Source organism: Homo sapiens, chromosome 13 (genome assembly GCF_000001405.40).
Source record: "Homo sapiens chromosome 13, GRCh38.p14 Primary Assembly".
Lineage (NCBI taxonomy): Eukaryota > Metazoa > Chordata > Mammalia > Primates > Hominidae > Homo > Homo sapiens.
In genome coordinates, this window is record NC_000013.11 from 112,098,818 (window position 1) to 112,116,276 (window position 17,459).

At 48.6% G+C, this 17,459-nt stretch overlaps 2 long non-coding RNA genes across 3 annotated transcripts in view, besides 4 other annotated features; one reads left to right on the forward strand and one right to left on the reverse strand.

The window, feature by feature from the left end:
* Positions 1-9,198, forward strand: part of SOX1-OT (SOX1 overlapping transcript) — a 135,706-nt gene extending 126,508 nt beyond the window's left edge. The window contains exons 1-2 of one of the 2 annotated variants that reach the window (NR_120394.1): positions 8,302-8,542; positions 8,895-9,198. This is a non-coding gene — a long non-coding RNA (SOX1 overlapping transcript). Of the gene's footprint in view, positions 1-8,301; positions 8,543-8,894 lie in introns of those variants that run through there. The other variant, NR_120392.1, reaches the window with a different exon arrangement.
* Positions 4,861-5,480: an enhancer, noted in NCBI's record as "NANOG-H3K27ac-H3K4me1 hESC enhancer chr13:112757992-112758611 (GRCh37/hg19 assembly coordinates)". NCBI's record gives its function as "activates a minimal SCP1, AML or CMV promoter by ChIP-STARR-seq in primed H9 embryonic stem cells {active_cell/tissue: H9 hESC(primed)}" and the evidence as "EXISTENCE:reporter gene assay evidence [ECO:0000049][PMID:30033119]".
* LINC00404 (long intergenic non-protein coding RNA 404) lies at positions 7,278-7,812 on the reverse strand. The gene is made up of 2 exons (NR_047014.1): positions 7,782-7,812; positions 7,278-7,421 (listed from the first exon to the last, which is right to left on the reverse strand). It is a non-coding gene; the product is annotated as a long intergenic non-protein coding RNA 404 (long non-coding RNA).
* Positions 7,342-7,961: an enhancer, noted in NCBI's record as "NANOG-H3K27ac-H3K4me1 hESC enhancer chr13:112760473-112761092 (GRCh37/hg19 assembly coordinates)". NCBI's record gives its function as "activates a minimal SCP1, AML or CMV promoter by ChIP-STARR-seq in naive H9 embryonic stem cells {active_cell/tissue: H9 hESC(naive)}" and the evidence as "EXISTENCE:reporter gene assay evidence [ECO:0000049][PMID:30033119]".
* Positions 8,582-9,200: an enhancer, noted in NCBI's record as "H3K4me1 hESC enhancer chr13:112761713-112762331 (GRCh37/hg19 assembly coordinates)". NCBI's record gives its function as "activates a minimal SCP1, AML or CMV promoter by ChIP-STARR-seq in primed H9 embryonic stem cells {active_cell/tissue: H9 hESC(primed)}" and the evidence as "EXISTENCE:reporter gene assay evidence [ECO:0000049][PMID:30033119]".
* Positions 13,195-14,394: an enhancer, noted in NCBI's record as "BRD4-independent group 4 enhancer chr13:112766326-112767525 (GRCh37/hg19 assembly coordinates)". NCBI's record gives its function as "activates an origin of replication core promoter dependent on BRD2, P300/CBP, MED14 and CDK7 cofactors, and independent of BRD4, by STARR-seq in HCT116 cells {active_cell/tissue: HCT116}" and the evidence as "EXISTENCE:reporter gene assay evidence [ECO:0000049][PMID:35650434]".

Sequence of the window (17,459 nt, forward strand, 5' to 3'; positions counted from 1 at the left end):
AACTCTGGCAGGTGCCACGAGTGCTGCCTGCTGCAGCTTGCTAGGATTCAGATGCCACTCATGAGGCATGGGCAAGTGTGAGCACACAGAAACACACACGCACACCTGCACAGGCACGTGCAGCCTCTGTGGGGCATGTTTAGAACTCCTGGGTCTGCTGGCGGGTACCTTTCCCCCTCGTGCTTTCCACGTGCAGCCAAGGCCTACTTCTATTGCAGTAAAAATTAGTCTCCGTGTCTGCCTGTCTGAACACAAGCTAACTTACAAGGAAACATGAAATTTAATTTTAAATTGAAGTTAAAAATTTTCCATTAGACTTAATTTAAAAATTTTTAGCTTCATTTTAAAATTTAATTAAATTAGATTTAACTGGTTCCTTGAAAATTGCTGATCTCTCTCTGAACGTAATCCTATTTTCAAAATTATGGTTGGTTTTCTTAGATTGATAGGGTCCTCAGTGTGGGGAGGGAGAGGTATTTGAAGGTGAATATGAGAGCATCTACAGGTAAAGAGTTTAGGCACAGTTTAGATCATGTAGAGAAAAATCTGTCATTTAGGGGGAGAAGCTGATTCTTGGAACCAAATTATTCAAATTAACCATATCCAATCTGCAGTGCCAAAACCAAAACCAAACCAACCAGCCTAAATTGTTCACTTTACTTTGGCAGGCACCAAATATGCATATGTGTATCAAATAAAGTGAACAATTGGAGTTCTTTCTCTAATTTAGATAATTTCTGGAAAAAAACCAGCAATCCACATCTTTTGCCTCAATTGCTAGATTATTACTGATGAGAGAATATTTATGTTTTTAACTTTTCTTTCTCCTTTGGGTGAGGTGGCTGGAATGGATAAATGTTTCAATTCTGCATTTCTAAACTCTGCATATCTATAGAGTCGTGTTGCATGTGTTACTCACATATGATTATTGACACATTTATTAATTTACAACAAAGTTAATTTCTATGGAACAATGGATAATTTTGAAAATATTCTGGATAAAATGTTACAAACTCATTATTCAATGAACTCAACAATGCATATTGTATTTCTTTGGTTCTAAGACACTCATTTTAAATATTTTTATCATCTCTGGAATCTAAATGCACCATTACCATCAGCGGCAACTTAGAATTACAATTGGCAGAGTTTTTTCTTTCATAGCAGCATGTAAAATAAAGATGCATCTTATAAATGGCATCTTAGGCTTGTTGAAATAGAAAAAGTGTGTGTGTGTAGAAGTAGCCTACAGATAATTTCTTGTCCCGATGGTCTCAGGGGTAAAAAAAATTGTTTGTGTCAAATATCAGCTATTCTTCCCTAATATTTCTTTATGTAGGGATTATAAATTATAACCCCAAACTTTTGCATAACTATTTTTATTCTAAAAACCTCTTGTCCTTATAATGAGTGGTTCATGCTAGTTTGCAGTGTGTATTCGACAGAGAATTTCTGTTGCTTTGTCCCCCGCTCCCATCAACTAAAAAAAATCTACAAATGAAAACTCTAGGAGACCAGTTTCCCATTCGGTACCAAAGCTAAAAATGAGTTCCCTCAACTCCTCAAAAAAAAAAAAAAAAAAAAATCAAAGTTAGTACCATTGAATGGGGTTTAGCTAATCTTATAAATTTTTAAATAAGCATGCCCACTTGCAACCAAATCCTGTGCTACATTTGTGCTTGTTCTCTGGGAAGTTTAGAAGGCAATTTCTGTAATGCAGAAAAGTCTGTACCACTGACCTCCCAGCCACGCCACAAGATATTTCTGGTCTGAATTCTTTCTATGTCTTTTCTCAGAGCCAGAAGTCTTGGAGAGCATTGAGAGGCAATTGTAAATATTAAGTCAGTTGGAGGTGATGTGGGAATAGTGGAGGGAAGAGAAACTATGTTTAGTGTTTTTTTTTTTTTTTTTTTGGTGGGGGGACGGAGTCTCCTCTGTCGCCCAGGCTGGAATGCAGTGGCGCGATCTCGGCTCACTGCAAGCTCCGCCTCCTGGGTTCATGCCATTCTCCTGCCTCAGCCTTCCGAGTAGCTGGGACTACAGGTGCCTGCCACCATGCCCAGCTAATTTTTTGTATTTTTAGTAGAGACAGGTTTCATTGTGTTAGCCAGGATGGTCTCGATCTCCTGACCTCGTGATCTGCCTACCTCGGCCTCCCAAAGTGCTGGGATTACAGACATGAGCCACGGTGCCCGGCCTAGATTTCTTTAAATTTTAAATGGTCGGGGTTCCAGAAAGGAAAATCATCCATATTAGTGCTACACTAGAACACCTATTCTTACCACAAGCATGCTGGCTGTGGAGCTTACAGAGACATGTGCACACATACATGCAGTGAATATCTAAATTTTGTTTCCTGACAGCTATGCCATTTAAGAGTTGAGGTTGATATTTCTTCACTTTCAGCCCTCTGCTCTCTACCTCATCTCATTCTTTCTGGGACCATCCTATATGCACGATTTAAAGGGAATTACCTATTACTTCAATTATTTGTTTCTTATCAACTGATGTTAAACTACAAGGATTTGCATTGAAAAGACACAAAGAAAGAGCAAGCCATGGCACGTCGCCAGATGAAAGAGTAATGTTCTGGTGAATTTAACCTAAATAATTTACTGCTATATAAAAGTGGAAAAGTGGAAGGTGAACCCTTTGACCAATAAATCTCTCCTGCCCATGAAACCCTTATCTGGTCTCCTCCAATGTATTCCACACGCGGAAGCCATCATCACGGGCTCGGGCTTGTGATTTGTAAACCTTGATCTTCTGCACTCCGTGTCCTAAATATGGATAATTAGCATCAGTTTATCACGCCTCTGCATATTTTCTCTTCTCTCCAAACATGCATGCTTCTGTTGGCTGCCATTCTGCTACAGAAGATTATGGAGACAGATTGCAGAGAGTGAATGTGCTAAACGAGATTAGGAAGGAATAGAAATAGCAACTTGGCCAATAAATTCCTCGTGAGAGCCTTATCATGCAATTACACGTTGACTTGCTTCACACTCTCCCAGCCTCTTAATCCAACACCCCCACCAGGAATGAAATTTCACTAATTTCTGAATTACTGCATATCCTCCTGACTTGTTACTGAGAGTGGTTGGAAGGAGAAACATTGCTGAAAACAACATGTAAAACTTTATCATAAAAAGCAAACTTTAACTGTCAAAATGGGCGGTATGAATTTGGAGTGTTTAAAGCATTTCAGCGTCGACGAATGGATGCACAAAGTCTTGGCATAGAGAGAGATTCAACTTTTCTTTGAGATTCACCAATTCTGCCATTGTGCCACCTTTGGGGATTCAGAACTGGCTGGGGGTGGGGGTGTTCCTTGCTCTTAAACGGGACTATCTGATGTGTTTAAACACAGGACAAAGCACCCACTGATTTTTCTGACTTCTCATTATTACTGATAACAGTCGCGATGCCTCTGGGTAATTCTGCGCAAATCACTTGACCTCTTTAAGTGTCACCTCCTCCTAGCTTAGGTGCACCCCTTCACCACCACAGCCCCTCCCGGCGCCAGCGTGCTGCAGCTTCTCATGCACATTAATGTACATAAATAGGAAAAGTCCTGCCTGTTCCGGATCTCCAAGAATGCTGTAATAGGGCATCTACAGGGGGAGCTCTCTTCTTGCTCTTCTCTGCCTGTTAATGTGATTCTCCCAGGGCTTTATAATAAGTTAGGTATTTAAAGAGGCCCATTAAACCTTTCGATCCACCAGGGGACTATTTATAGCACAGAGCAGCAGTCAGACATTGTGGTGCCCCTACAAAAGCAAGGTTCTACAGCAGGAGAAAGAAAACCTGGCAGGCCTGAACGTGTGTTTACTAGAAGGAATGGAAATCTAGCTCACATATTAAAACTTGTGCTTAATATTTGTGCTTGCAGAAAAGGAAAGGAGTCCAATTCATGGTGGCAAGAATTAATTAGCAAAAGAAATGCACAGCGATTGTAAAAAGAGTTTTACACGTAGATCATAATGTTGTCTTCACTTTCTTTCCCACAAGTAATGCCTATGCGGGTTCACTGATGAGAGGGCCCTATGAGCCATCCAGAGAAAAGCTGCCATATTTCCCTTCCAGAAGACCTGCTTGCAGGCCTTGAATTTTGAGAGGTAAAACTGGACAGCATTCACTTGATGAATAGGTATTGAGCATCTCCTCTGCACACACTGCCATGCACTGTTGCAGGACCATGGGGTGAAACAGCAGGAGGAAGGAGCCCTGCCCTGGAGGAGCTGGCCACGGGGAGAAAGCCGCCCCGATGTTGTTGCCCACCTGCTTGCCTTCTGCAAGCTGGTTGCTTTTCTACTGGCTGCCAAGAATCTCCTTTTTTGGAAAGAAAGCCAGCCTGGAACCCTCATTTACCTTGATTGGGAGGGAGGGACCCAAGGCCTGGGAGGCAGCCCTGGGAGGCACTGGTCTGAAGGGCTAGACCCTTGGTAAGAACCTCTGGAAGAACGCCTGTCTTCCGGAACCAGACAGGGAGGCGTGCAACGGGGTGGGGTGGGGGGTACTCCCAGCTGCAGGCACCTCTACTCCTAACTATCTGCAAGAGGACACACACACACACACACCCTGGGTGTCAGAGAAGTCCTCCCTTCCCTGTACCTCCTCCTTCCCAAGCCCCTGAAATCCAGAAGTGCCTGTTTCCAGGCGCCAGCCCTGCTGAGTGGATGTGGGGATGGAGGTCACTGGAGGCCCAGGGCTGGTTTGTTGTTTTTGTTTCCTGTTAGGAGTACTGTGAAGGCTTTGCAGGGCTAGTTTTGGGAAATCTTAGGTTTGGCTTCATCTGACTCCTCTACTGGAGCGAGGCGTGCAGCCAAGCCTGCTTAGACCTCCCCAGGCCACGGGCCCGCGGCAGCCCAGCTCAGCACCTGCAGGCGGGGGGACCGCGCGCTTGGCTCGAAGACCCCGCCCTGGGCAGGGGACAGAAAATATGAAATCAGATGGGGAGTTATGAATAACTGTCCTCCCCTCCCCTCTGCCGTGTTTCCTGAATCCGTACGCTATGCAGGAGGGGGGCGGGGGCGGGGGCGCGGGGAGGAGGAGGGGGCCGTTTGCCATTAATCTGGGAACAAGCGGCTAACCTCGGTGACTGGTATTTTCGCTTTTCTTTTCTCACTTTTCTCAGTGTGGGGAAAGCAGTCAAGCCCGCGCGGAGCGATTGTGAGGGGCTCTGCTGGAATTTGGCAGCGCGGAGGCTTGGAGAGAAGCCCCATGCTGGCTCCCATTCAGCCGGCCCGTTTTCCTCGAGCTTTGGAAGTTTCACTCAGCCGTGCACTCAATGGCTTCACAAAGCTGATTACAAGCTTCAGCGCATTCCTGAAGGAGCCAAAAGCGACGCAGGTGCAAACGAGCCGAGGGAGCCCCTTATCCCGGTGACAGAATGGGACAAGCTGGGAAAGGCTTAGACCACACAAGTCCAAGGCTCACCAGGCCGCAGAAAGCCTGCCTTGGGAACCGGGGGTCATTATCCGCCCTATTCAGCGGGGCCCGGGGACCCTGGGGGCCGAGCGAGGCCAGCCCGGGCGGGAGCACCGCCGCCAGCGCGCGCCGGCGACAGGGGGGAACCCCGCTGGGCGCTGCGGCCAGGCCGGGGCTCAGGGCGCTGGGCTGTGCGTTTGCACAAATCTGTGTTCCGGCGGGCCGGTGTCAACCCTAGTGGGGACACGGGAGAAAGAGCACGCCAGTAGGCCACGCGGCGCGTGGGCAGTGCGCAACTTCTGTCGGCGTCCAGGCTGTACGGCCACGTTTCAGCCGGTGCCCCCAGGCCATGGACACCCAGCTCCAGGGTCGCTCTGCGCCCTTTCTCCCCAGCCCACCTTTCCCATTGGTCCCCTCTCCTGTCCGAGTGGCAGCGCGGCCCCGCAGGGAGCGACCCCGGGAGGGACAGTGACCGCACGCGTGGAGTGGGGACGGCGGGGCACAGGACGGTAGTCTAAGAGTGTTCGCATGGCCGAGGACGCTTTCGCTGCGAGTTTGGGGTCGAGGGGCAGTTCCCTCCCGGAGTCATTAACTTCGTCTCCTCGTGCTCAGGGACCAGCAACTTGGTGCTGCGGGCGCCAGAAAGAAAAGGGTAGCGCCTCGCGGAGCGCGCGGGGGAAGAGGGACTGCGGCAGCGGGACGCGAGGGCGGGAGGGGCGCAGCAGCGGGGAGCCGGAGCGCAGCGGAGGGGAGCGCTGGGGGGCGGGGAGCGCTCGGGCAGCCACCCTGTCCCCGTCTGGAGCCCCGCGCTGCGTCTAGGAGGGCGCAACACGCAGTCCCCGCGGGGGCCAGAGCTCGGAGCCCCCTAGTGCATGCCCCCTCTCCTCGCGCCCTGCCGAGGCCTCGGCCCTGCCTGCCGTGCCCTGGGCCTGGTTGTGCCCGGGGGTCCCCGCGGGCAGGGCGCGGGGCAGGCAGGGCGCGCGCGCCGACGCTCTTTTGTCTGATAACTAATTTGAGTTAATGCGATCTTTATGTAAAGCTAACAGCGGATAATTGTCTATTTTCTCGCCAACAGTCTCCATCACAATCACTTATCTGGAAACCTGCGGTTGGATTAATCGTTATATTCCCGAGATGAGCGTCGCTGCAATCCGCAGCGAACGCGGGTAGGGACCTGGAGACGCCTCCCGGGCGCTGGCGGGGCCGGTGTGGGCCAGCTCCGCTACCGCCTGAGACGCGGTGTGCCCAGGTGTTGGTGCCCGCGGGAGAGGGCTGTGGGGCGCCTTCCCCAGGATTTGCTTGACTTGCTTTTCGCTCGAGTGGGTGGTGCGCGGGTGCGGGAGGCGGAGGGAGGAGGAGGGGTGAGGGGAGGAGGGCCTGTGGGGCTGCGGACCCGGAGCAGCCTGGGTGGAGCGCGGCCTCGGGAGGCCCTGGGTGCATCGCGGCGGGGCCTGGGGGGGCCCAGGCGCCGGAGGAGCCGTCGGTGCCGGAATGCAGCGTGTTTCACTTGGGAGAAACGTTGCCCTCGGTCCCTTGCCTCCCTCCTGTTGTCTCGGTTTTTCTGGCTTCGTCCTTCGTCCCACCCACCCGTTCCCACCTCAGGTCCCTCCCCCAGGATCCCCTCCTTAAGGATCCAGGTCTCTGAAAATTATTGGCAACAGTTACACGCCCCACGATTGAAATCCACAAGAGAAGAGTCCCAGTTCTGCAGGCCGCTCCAGGGCTAGGGGTAGAGATGGTGGCAGGTGGTGCGTCAACTCTCTAGGGAAGAGGAACTTGCATTACAAAGACTTGTCTTTCTGAGCTGAAGTCAAAACGGGGGCGTCAAGCGCGCTCCGTTTGGCGGCGGTGGAGGGGCCGCGCGCCCGCGCTGTCCCAGCCGGAGCTGCCCTGGCTGGTGATTGGAGGTTTAACGTCCGGAATTCAGGCGCTTCTGCAGCTCAGATTTGCCGGCCAAGGGGCCTCAGTTGCAACTTTTCAAAATGGTGTTTCTGGAAAATAACAAATTCAGACTCAACTGGTGACAGCTTTTGGCTATAGAGAATGAAACTGCTTCCCTTTGGCGGTGGAACTCTTAAACTTCGAAGAGTGAAAGAATACAATGAAATAAAATGCCATAAGATCACTGGATTTTTCAGAAAAAGGAAGACCCCAAATTACTCCCAAAATGAGGCTTTGTAAATTCTTGTTAAAAATCTTTAAATCTCGAATTTCCCCCTACAACATCTGATGAGTGCTTTAAGAGCAAACGAGCAAATCCCACCTCGAGAATCAACAAACCCAAGCTCTGGCCAAGGCTCTCCCCGCGTTTTCTTCTCGTGACCTGGGGAATGTCCCGCCCCATCGCTCACCTGGCTCTTGTCATCTCGCTCATCTTGAAGTGACCCGTGGACAATGCTGCTCCCTGCCGCAGCTCCGCCGGTCACTCAGGCAGAACGGGGTATGCAAATGGCCTGGAGAGGCCGAGGCCGAACACTGCGCCCATTGTCCCGGGCGCTCAAAGCGCCGAGCAGCTGCGCAGACTTTCTGGGCTCGGACCCTCGGCCGCCACGCTAATGTCATCATTGCAAAACATCAGATTTTGAGAACTATGCAGTCTGAATTCATTAGCAGCCTTCTCGGCGAAGGTTCTTTTCCCCGTGACAAGTTTCAAAGTCCAGACCCCCTCCAACGTTGGTAGGGGTAGGAAGAGGAGGAGGGGCCCAGGGAGGGGGGTCTTTCGCAAGTGGGGCCTCGGGGGATCCCTGCTCTCCTTCTGGTGCATTCCGCAACTTTAAAAGCCTTCCTTGGGGTTCTGAGCGCGGATGTCTGACTTGAATGACCTGAGATTTGGACATATTCCCGTTTTCTCCCAAGAGTTGCTTTAATGTTGCGAGTTTAAATTCACTGAAAGAGGCCCAGATACCAAGTCGAGTGAATTTCATAGACATCATCTTCTGTTTTAATGATCGCGGCAGTGATCGTTTCTGAAGTCATACCCTTTAGGGTGAACTCACAACAATGCATGTCAGAGAGGCTGCGCGCCCTAAAGCAAAACAGTTAAAACATCAGGCCACGCTCCTCAAACTGCAGGATTGCAAGCAGCTCACAAACTTCCAGTCCCCACCCCAAGGTGAGGAGAGTCTCAGTGACTTGAGGACCTGCTTGCACTCCCGCTTTCCACGCCCGGTCCCCTACCCGCACCTGCCCAAGTGGTCTCGTTCCTCTAGAATCTGAATGGTGGGGAGGGGTGCTCCTGATGCCCCGGGTGCAGGGCGGGCACCAGCGAGCGAGACCCAAGGGCGCTAGAACCCAGGAGCGCAAACCACCGTTAGGGCCTGAGGGACGCAGAGGCGGGTGGAGTAGTGTTTCTCAGATTCGTGGGAGGCCGCAGGCGCCAGCAGAGGCAATTTTCCTCCCCTGAGCAATGCTAGTTCTCCTCAGGCCCAGGATCTCCACTAACGTGTCCTTCCACCTCCTCACAGGACTCCAAGCTGCTGTCCCCTCTCTGCCGCATCTGAGGCTGGGAAAACTTCCTAGGAGAAGGCAAGAGAAAGCCACCAGACCAGAGCCGAGGACTAAACTTTAAGGTCGAAGACGGCAGAGGGGCAGGTTCTCCCCTGCACACCCCAAGGCCTCTCCTGCACCCGCGAGGCCTTCCTTGAGCGCCCAGGCCCCCGAAATGCCTGCCCTCCTTCTGACAAAAGGAGGGGGTAGGATGTGAAGGGGTAGTGCAACCAACAATGTTTTTGTAAACACAACAACAGGGAAATACATGGAGGAAATCTATTTATTGGGTGTGTCATTTTTGGTGGGGGGCGGGATTGAAAGTGGCGCCATCTAGACCCAGGAAAAAGCTACGGGGTGGGCGGGGTAAGCGGGGGACTCTTGGTAAATGTGGATAATTTTGAACTGGGACACCATTTTGTTTCCTTCCTAGAGCATTGTATGATGTGGCCTGAAGGCTCTGGAAAGTCACAGATCACACCCAGCAGGAGGTTCTTCATGTGTGCCAGCCCCTGGCTGGGCCTGGGCAGCCTTGCCCCCATCCTCTGGCCCCAGCTCCTGCCACCCCACCTGCAGACAAGGCTGCCAAAGGCTAGGGACAGGGCTCCAAGCTAGAGGCCGGCTTTTTGGAGATGTGGCTGTGGGAGGGGAATCCCAGGAAGTTGCATAGAGAGGGAGTTTTTGCCAGCCTGGGTCACTGATGGCCAGTCCGGGTCACTGATGTCTCCCCAGGGGCAAGGGGACAGTGCCTGGCTAATTGTGGGTTTCAAAATCTGTCTGTTGAGGGGATGCAGAGGTCATCATTGGGGGGTGAAGCTGATGGTCCACAGAAGCTCTGGGCACAGGTTGGACCTCTTTCCTGCACAAAGAACCCTCCAGGGTGCCCAGTGGTTCTGGCCAGCGCCGGAGCCAGTGACGGTTGGCTTGTTCTGGCCTTCCTCCCCTTCTCACACATGCATTCTCTTGCACACGTGTCACACACATTCCTACACACTCACACAAATTCTCACACAAATTCCCAGAATCAATCTCCCACATACACATCCAAGTCACACACTCATTCTTACATGCGATTCACAGATTCACACGATTCACAGATGCAACAGACTCACAGGCATTCACTCTTACATATGACACAGTTGCACACTTGCACACACACACACACACACACACGCACTGCAATCCCCTTGCATCTCCACAGTGTCGAAGGCTGGCTGAACACCAAGGTGGCTCTTGGTGGCAGGACTTCTCATGGGAGGGAAAGTCACATAGCTGGAAGGTTACTAGCTTAGGGACATAATTTCCTTATTGACTATAATCTCCTTATAGAAATTCAACAACTATAGCAGAAAATGGAGAATGAGGACATTTTATTTCTCAAAGTCAACAGTTCCTTTTCTCCTGCACCTTCGGAGCAGGCTCCTGCCTGAGGCTGCTGAGGTGCTCTGGGTTCTCGCTGTTTGTTTTCAGCATCCAGGTTCAGGCTTTTCTCAGTGCATTTTCCTCGGCTGCCCTTGGACTTGTGTTGTCCGGGGTGGTGGCCACTGGCCCCCAGTGGCTACTGAGCAGGGAGAGCAGGGCCCCTCTGTGGTGAGGCGTGCTGCTCAGTGTAAAACACACACGAGATTTTCCAGATGCAGTACTCAAAAGCATGTGAAACTCCTCAGTCATCACTTAAAATATTGATCACAGGTTGAAATGATTATATTTTAGATACCTTAGGTTAAGTAAAATATATTATTGAAATTTCACCTTCTTTTTGCTTTCTAAAAATGTAGCTCTTAGGAACTTTGCAATTACCTACATGGCTATTTGTGTGTTATCTTCCTGCTGGGCAGTGTGAGACCTTCTCACAGATCCTTCAGAAATGTCAAAGGAAAAGCAAAAATGGTGGAGAAGGCTGAGCACGTGGCCTCGCGGGAGGCCGGCTCAGAGCTGTTCTGAAGTTGCTTTTGTAACACAATCTATTCTCAAAGCTCCTTTTCTTTCAATGGGGCAGGTTGGGGGTGGGGGGGGGGGGGATATTACACCTTGTATTTTACTTCTCGATTCATTTTCTTTCCATTTTAACTTTAATTCCGTCTAATTACTGTATTGTGAGCTCAGTCAGCAATCTTGCATGAACTCTGCAGTAACTTCTGAAGACTCTTGCTCCAAGTGTTTGATAATGAGGAGATGTGCAGGACTAAGGCGACTGTGTGATGTCTGCACAGTTCGAAAGCCCGCTTTCCTGTTACTTTCAAATCTCGGGTCAGCATTTTGGAACTTTTCTGCTTTAATTTTTCCACACACACCTCTCACTGCGACCACCTACCATCACCACAACCCAAAACAAAGCAAACAAACAGAAAGCTTGAACAAGAATTTACATCTGGGAAAACGCTTCTACTCATCAAGAGTGGAATTCCTTTTTATTCCTATAATTGACTCACAGCTTCAAAAATCTGTGAAGTCATACTTTGGTCACGGAAGTTGCAAGAAACCATATTTGCAAACGTTTTATTTTAAAGAAGGTATTTAAAAATATTTCACATATTAGCCACAGATTTCTAGAAGTGAAGTTATAAAAATTAGAAATTATATTTTGCCTTTTGATGATAGCAAGTGAAAAGAGATTGCTCCAAGCATGTTTTCAATAAATTCAGTATAACTGCAACACAAAAATTCTGCATGCAGGCTTCATACACACACGTTATAATTTTATGCATTTATCTTGAGAGTTGTATAATTAATTTTAAAAATGCAACAGAAATGTGAAGTTAAGTCTACTTTGCCAATAATGGAAATGTCTCATAGATAATTTTGAATACAATTAAAATTTTGTTTTTATCATAAAAGGAACTGTCCTGTTGCTCATTATTAGTATGTTGTCCACTTACTGTTCTATTTTTAGCTAAATTAAATTTAACTAGAGGAAAAAGAAAATGTTGTGCAATACCAAGGATGAGCAAAGTTTTGTGGGTAAACTAATTGAGATGGTTAATTTTGGTATTAACTCTTTGGGCAATATCATTCTTGTTAAAATTTAAGTAAGGAACTAGTAGAAATACTTTATTCCTTAATCAAACTACCTGTTTTTGAAAAAAATTGCCAAAGAAGAAACTAAAAAATTAGCACATATCCTGTTAAAGAGCCATCAACATCCCATTGGAAACTCTAGCACTCTGACTTTGGATGTGTACGATGGTCTGTTCATTTAGTATATGTATTACACAGCCTCATTTGCATCATCACCTTATAAAGCCAGAGAGACTCTCATTTGCTTTCTGTTTTTCTTCTTTCCCCTAAGGACTACAATGGTTATATACTTTCAAATATTCACAGACGAGATATTCTGGGTAAATAATCTAAGATTAACTAAATTAGGTCAATGTTCATACAGGGCCAGTGTGATATATCCCTTGTGCTGAAATTATCTGGCGTCAGCTACATTGATTGAAAAAGCACTACAGACCCAAAAGGAAAAAAAAAAAAAACACAACTCTTATTACAAGATGTCTCAAAAGCAGATAAGAAAGCAACGAAGTCTTCTGGTAAATGAGGGACCTTATCTAGATTTTAATATGGCAGTAGGCAAATTACAAATGTTTCTGCAAGTTAGACAACTTGCACGGGAAAACAGACGTTCCTAAGGTTCCCATAATTCTAAGCCAGTTATAGAGTTTGCACATCGTCTGTGCTGGTGGGTTCTTTGTGCTTTTCCTCAAGATACATTCCATATAAGGGCAGAAAAACCATCAAGATTCAGGTCACACTGGCTGGGCTGTTTGACTCACTCTAGGATGGAGATAGCTCAAGAGAGGGACGCCCGAATGTCATTGTCGGAGGGCTACTTTCTGCTTATCTACATATTGTTTACATCTACTTCACACATTGTTTCTCTCTTTCCGAAAACGGCTATTAATATAACAAAGTCCTTATAACAAAACTAAAATGTCAAGGGTTGGAAAAGAAGGTCCTTGAGGCTTTCATACAGAGACCACATTTGCTGAAGTCAGTAGCATAACTCAGCTTGTTTTCACTGGGTAGCCTCTTTAATAATTTTGCAGGTGAGAAAATGATTTCTTTGATCATTGTGATTATCATCCGTTTATCAGTCAAAGTTCACTGAATTGTTGCTCCTGTCACCATTATAATCTATTATCACAAAAGGTATTTAACAAGTTGATAATTTGATAGAATGAACAGAATGGCTGTCAGAACATATATTTCAGAAACAGACACAGACTCATCTAGCAGGCTGCTGCCCACAGAGGATGCCATTCCATTCGAAAATTACTATCTTTAGAGCATATTTCTGAGTGGCAATAATGACAGTAACCTTCATCTTCATCTTCAGGACAAAATTAAATTTCTAATGCATGCCTGGGCATGCAAAAAACTAACAAAATAAAATGAAGAAGGAAGCCCAACAGCCTAAAACTGGAATTTCTGATTGCATTCTAATACAAAAGTGAGTACTTTGAGGGAGAGTATCATAGTTGTTCAAATACTGCAGTGAGCCGCAGCTGCAGGTGGGTGTGGACTCTGAGAAGCAGCTGCTGAAACAAGAATTATATAAAGCAAAATAAGTCAGAGGCCGAGATCTAGAATGAGGAATTAAAAAAAAAAAGGAAAACATTAAGCTTCATGAAAAACAAGAGAGTTGGAGCTTTGCCTCACCCGTCTCCTGTTGAGGTCAGGGGTGAGCTGATGCCCATGGGGTCAGTGTTCTCCTTCATGTCTTTAGCTTACCCAGCATTTCCGTCCTGTAGCCAGCGCAGCCTTGCTATAGTGTTTGTCTGGGGCAGGTGAGATGGGGTCACCTGCATCCGTGCAAAGAGGGGTCAGCGAGAATTGAACGTGGCCCATGACCTTTTGCCCTCCTTGACTCTTAGAAGCTTCCAGATGCACCACCATGATTTGACCTCACGGTCTTGAGCATGAACCCCTATGTGGAGTTGCGGAGAAGCCTTCAGAAGACCCACCACAGGTGTCCTTTCAGTTAGCAGGCTCACTGCCCACTGCACTCCACTGGTTTGACCTTCCACGCACCGTCTCACTGCTCTTACCAGCCCACCACCCTAGCCCATCACCCTAGCCCACCACCTTAGCCCACCACATTGGCCCACCACCCTAGCCCACCACCCTAGCCAGCACCCTAGCCTACCTCATGCACCAAACCCAGGACCATCCCAGAAGCAGACACAGCACACTGAGCCTTCCTCCAAGCCCTCCAGTGCTTCTACTGAAGCGTATTTCTCCCCAGAAGAAAACTAAGTCCATTCCTTCTTTCCCGCTGTGCATTTTGTGAGGACGGACTGGATGGAGGCCACAGAGCATGAGTCAGATGCCCAGCACACCCGGCTCCTCTCTGATCTGAGACGCCCATCACACCCGGTTCCTCTCTGATCGGAGCAAATCTAAGGTTTGTGGCTTTTAAAAATGTCTATTTCACGTGTTTCTCTGTTAAAGAGGAAAGGTGGAGGCAAGGGTGGGAAGGGCCCTCAAAGCTCCTTTCATGGGAGGATCTTTCTGAAGATCTGTGGCATGGTCTTTTATTTCTAGTCCAAAAAAAATTAACTGACACCTTCACTGGAGATTATTCATAAGCAAACACGGTAATTTATATTCTTTGATAAGACAGGAAAAGATGATAGGGTAAGAATTCAATGCAGTAGATGTTTGTCAGGTATCTACCATATTTATGGTGCTTTGCAAAGTGCAGGATACGGAAGTAAAGACGTTGGTCATGAATCATGCTCTCATGAAATTTACAACCTTGTAGCGAAGAGACAGTAAACACTTGTTCAGCAGGACAACTGCAATTACAGGTAATTCAGTGGGGCACTTAGAAAGGAGTGGCACTCTCCTCCTGGGAGAGGAGAGAACGCTTCCCAGGATCTCAGTCTTGAGGAAAGAGGAGAGGAAGGGAAAGACTTTCTTGCAGGGGAACAGCATTTACAGAGGCACGGGGCAGGACATAGCAAATCGTCTTCGGGAAAGTGGGCCCCATACCAAGGGGCAGAGCTACAGGAATAGACGCTTTGATGATTCTGCAGAGGAAAGGATGGTTCAGAGCTGGGTAGTCAGAGAAAGTTCCCAGAGGAAGATGGAATCTGCTCAGGGCCTCCAAGCAAAGCCCCTGCCTGGAGGGCCTGATTGGAAGGTAGCAGCAGTCCCTCGGCAGAGGAAGTGAGAGGCTGCACTGGCTTCTTTCCTGAATGCTTGCAGTGTGGGCATGCCTCAGCTTGGCTGAAGCCAAAGACGCTGTTGAGTATGTGAGCAGAGGGTAACCATGTTGGAGGAGAAGCATCTGGCTGTGCAATGGAGGGCCTTGGACGGCAGGTGCATGAATGCTGACCTGATTCTCTGGGCAGTGAGGACCTCTGGAGTGATTCTGAGCAGTGGAATACTGCTCAGTGCAGTACTCCTGCACTGAGTGACCTGCAGCATCTTGGTGTATGTATCAGTGTAAGGTCCAAGTGGGGACAGCTCACTATGACAGCCGCTGTGAACCTAGTCTTCAAGCACCTCTTGGTCCATGAGAATCAGCCCTTGAGAAAAGTCTTAGCAACTGTACTCATTCAGGGAGAGAGAGAGATCCATGCCTGCACTGGAGCAGGTGGGGAGTGGCCACACTCAGGATTCTTGGAACAGGTGAGTGGCCCCTGCGTGGTACACATGGCACCTGGGCCTGCCTGTATGACCTTCCACAATGTCTCCACTATCTGGCCCCTTGTTATCCCTTTGGTTGAATTTTCCATTTACACTTCCCTCTGCTCAACCCACATTAGCCACTTGACCGCTTCCTGCCCCACTACGGGCTCTGGCACCGCTGCTTCCGTTTCCCCAGAGGACTCTGCCCCTCACCTCCTCGCCTCCTACCATCGGCCCTTTGCTCAGAGGCCACCTTGTCAGTGAGGCCCTCCTGACCGCCTGTTTAAATTGGCCCCAACCTCTTTTCGTCTTCTTTCATCTCCGTAGCACTTACCCCAGGACCAAGCCAAATCCCTCCTTGGCTTTCTTTGTGTGGTCTCCGCACCCAGAACCACACTTCACCCGGGAGGGATTCCTGCCTGTGCAGTGCATGCTGCATCCTCGGCCTCTGTGCCTGGAACAAGCTGGGTGTGTCCTGGATATTTTCGAAGGAAGGAGGAATGAACATGTGGCTGAGGGTGAAACATGATGAAGGCCATGAGGAGGAGGCCAGCTTTGGAGACGGAGGGAGCCATGTCCTTGGATGCCGGGAGTGAATGGCCTGGGGAAACCCTGCGTGTTTGGGCAGCAGCCTCTGGCCTCCTGGAAGTAGACGGTCATGATTTTCGGGTGAAACAAGGAGGCAAGGGCGTGATTTCCTCAAGCCATGCAGCGGGAAGTGGAGGGCTGATGAGTGCCATGAGTCAGGGGTGAGTTTTGCCAGGTGAGTCCTGGGGCAGCTGGCACTGTGGGATCCTGCCAAGTGAGTGGAAGGGCTGGCCATGGGTGAGAGACGGAAAAGGCGGGTGTAGGACAGCCCAAGTGCAACGCCATTCACTGAGGCACTTTCTGAAGCACAGATGGGGCCCACATGCACAGAAGAAGGTTTGCTACATTGGGTAAGAATCATTTTCCGAGCTTTTTTGATGAAAAAATTGAATTGCCAAAATTAATATCTTGATCAAATATAAAATCCTTTTCCCATTATGATGGGTAATAAAATATACATCTATACTTAATGTTTAAGTGTTTATAGATGACATTTTTGGTTGATTTTTCAAAGAATGAAAGAAATTAAAACTTAATAAATGAGAGCATTTCAAAACACATCTCAGTACATTCTGTATTCTGGTCTGGAAAAATATTTTCACTTTAAACCTTGTGAACACAAGCTTTGAAATACTGATGACTTGGCAGTTAGCTCACACACCTTGAGAAAATTCTATTACATCCCATTTGTACAAGCAGAAACGACGTATCTTCTTCCAGAGGATGTTTTCTCCTCTTTGGATTTAATTGGTGGAAGAACAGAAGGCAGAGCAGGGCTGGTTCATGTGCCCGCCTGGAGAGAGGTGGAGACACTCCGCAGAGCTTCTCTGTGTGGCATCTCAGTCTCAGGCCCTGCAGGCAGCACGCAGCCCGGCTACGGACACACCAGCTGCACGGCGGCCTGGGCCAGCGTTCGGAGCCCATCCTCGGAGCCCATCCTTAGCCCCGGCCCCGCACCAGGATGCATGCTGCGTCTCCCACAGGATCACCTCACCCCGCCTTCAACACAACCTCCCAGGAACTTTGTTTGCATCCTTGTGACCACTTTAATAATGAGGACACTGCAGGAATCTCGGCTGCAGCAGGGCCCCGAGTTCAGGCTCAGCCATGCTGCTGGGTCGCGTCCCAGACATTTGGAGGACAAACACAAGACAGAAAGAGACATGCTTGCCATCCATCAATGCTGATTATTAACAAAACAACACAATAGTGACACCTTCCTATTTTTTTTTAAACAAGATGCACCTCTTTTCCCCAAATAAGTAGAGATGATCTGAAAAAAAAGCATGATGCTGGTGAGCCATCCATGTTCACAC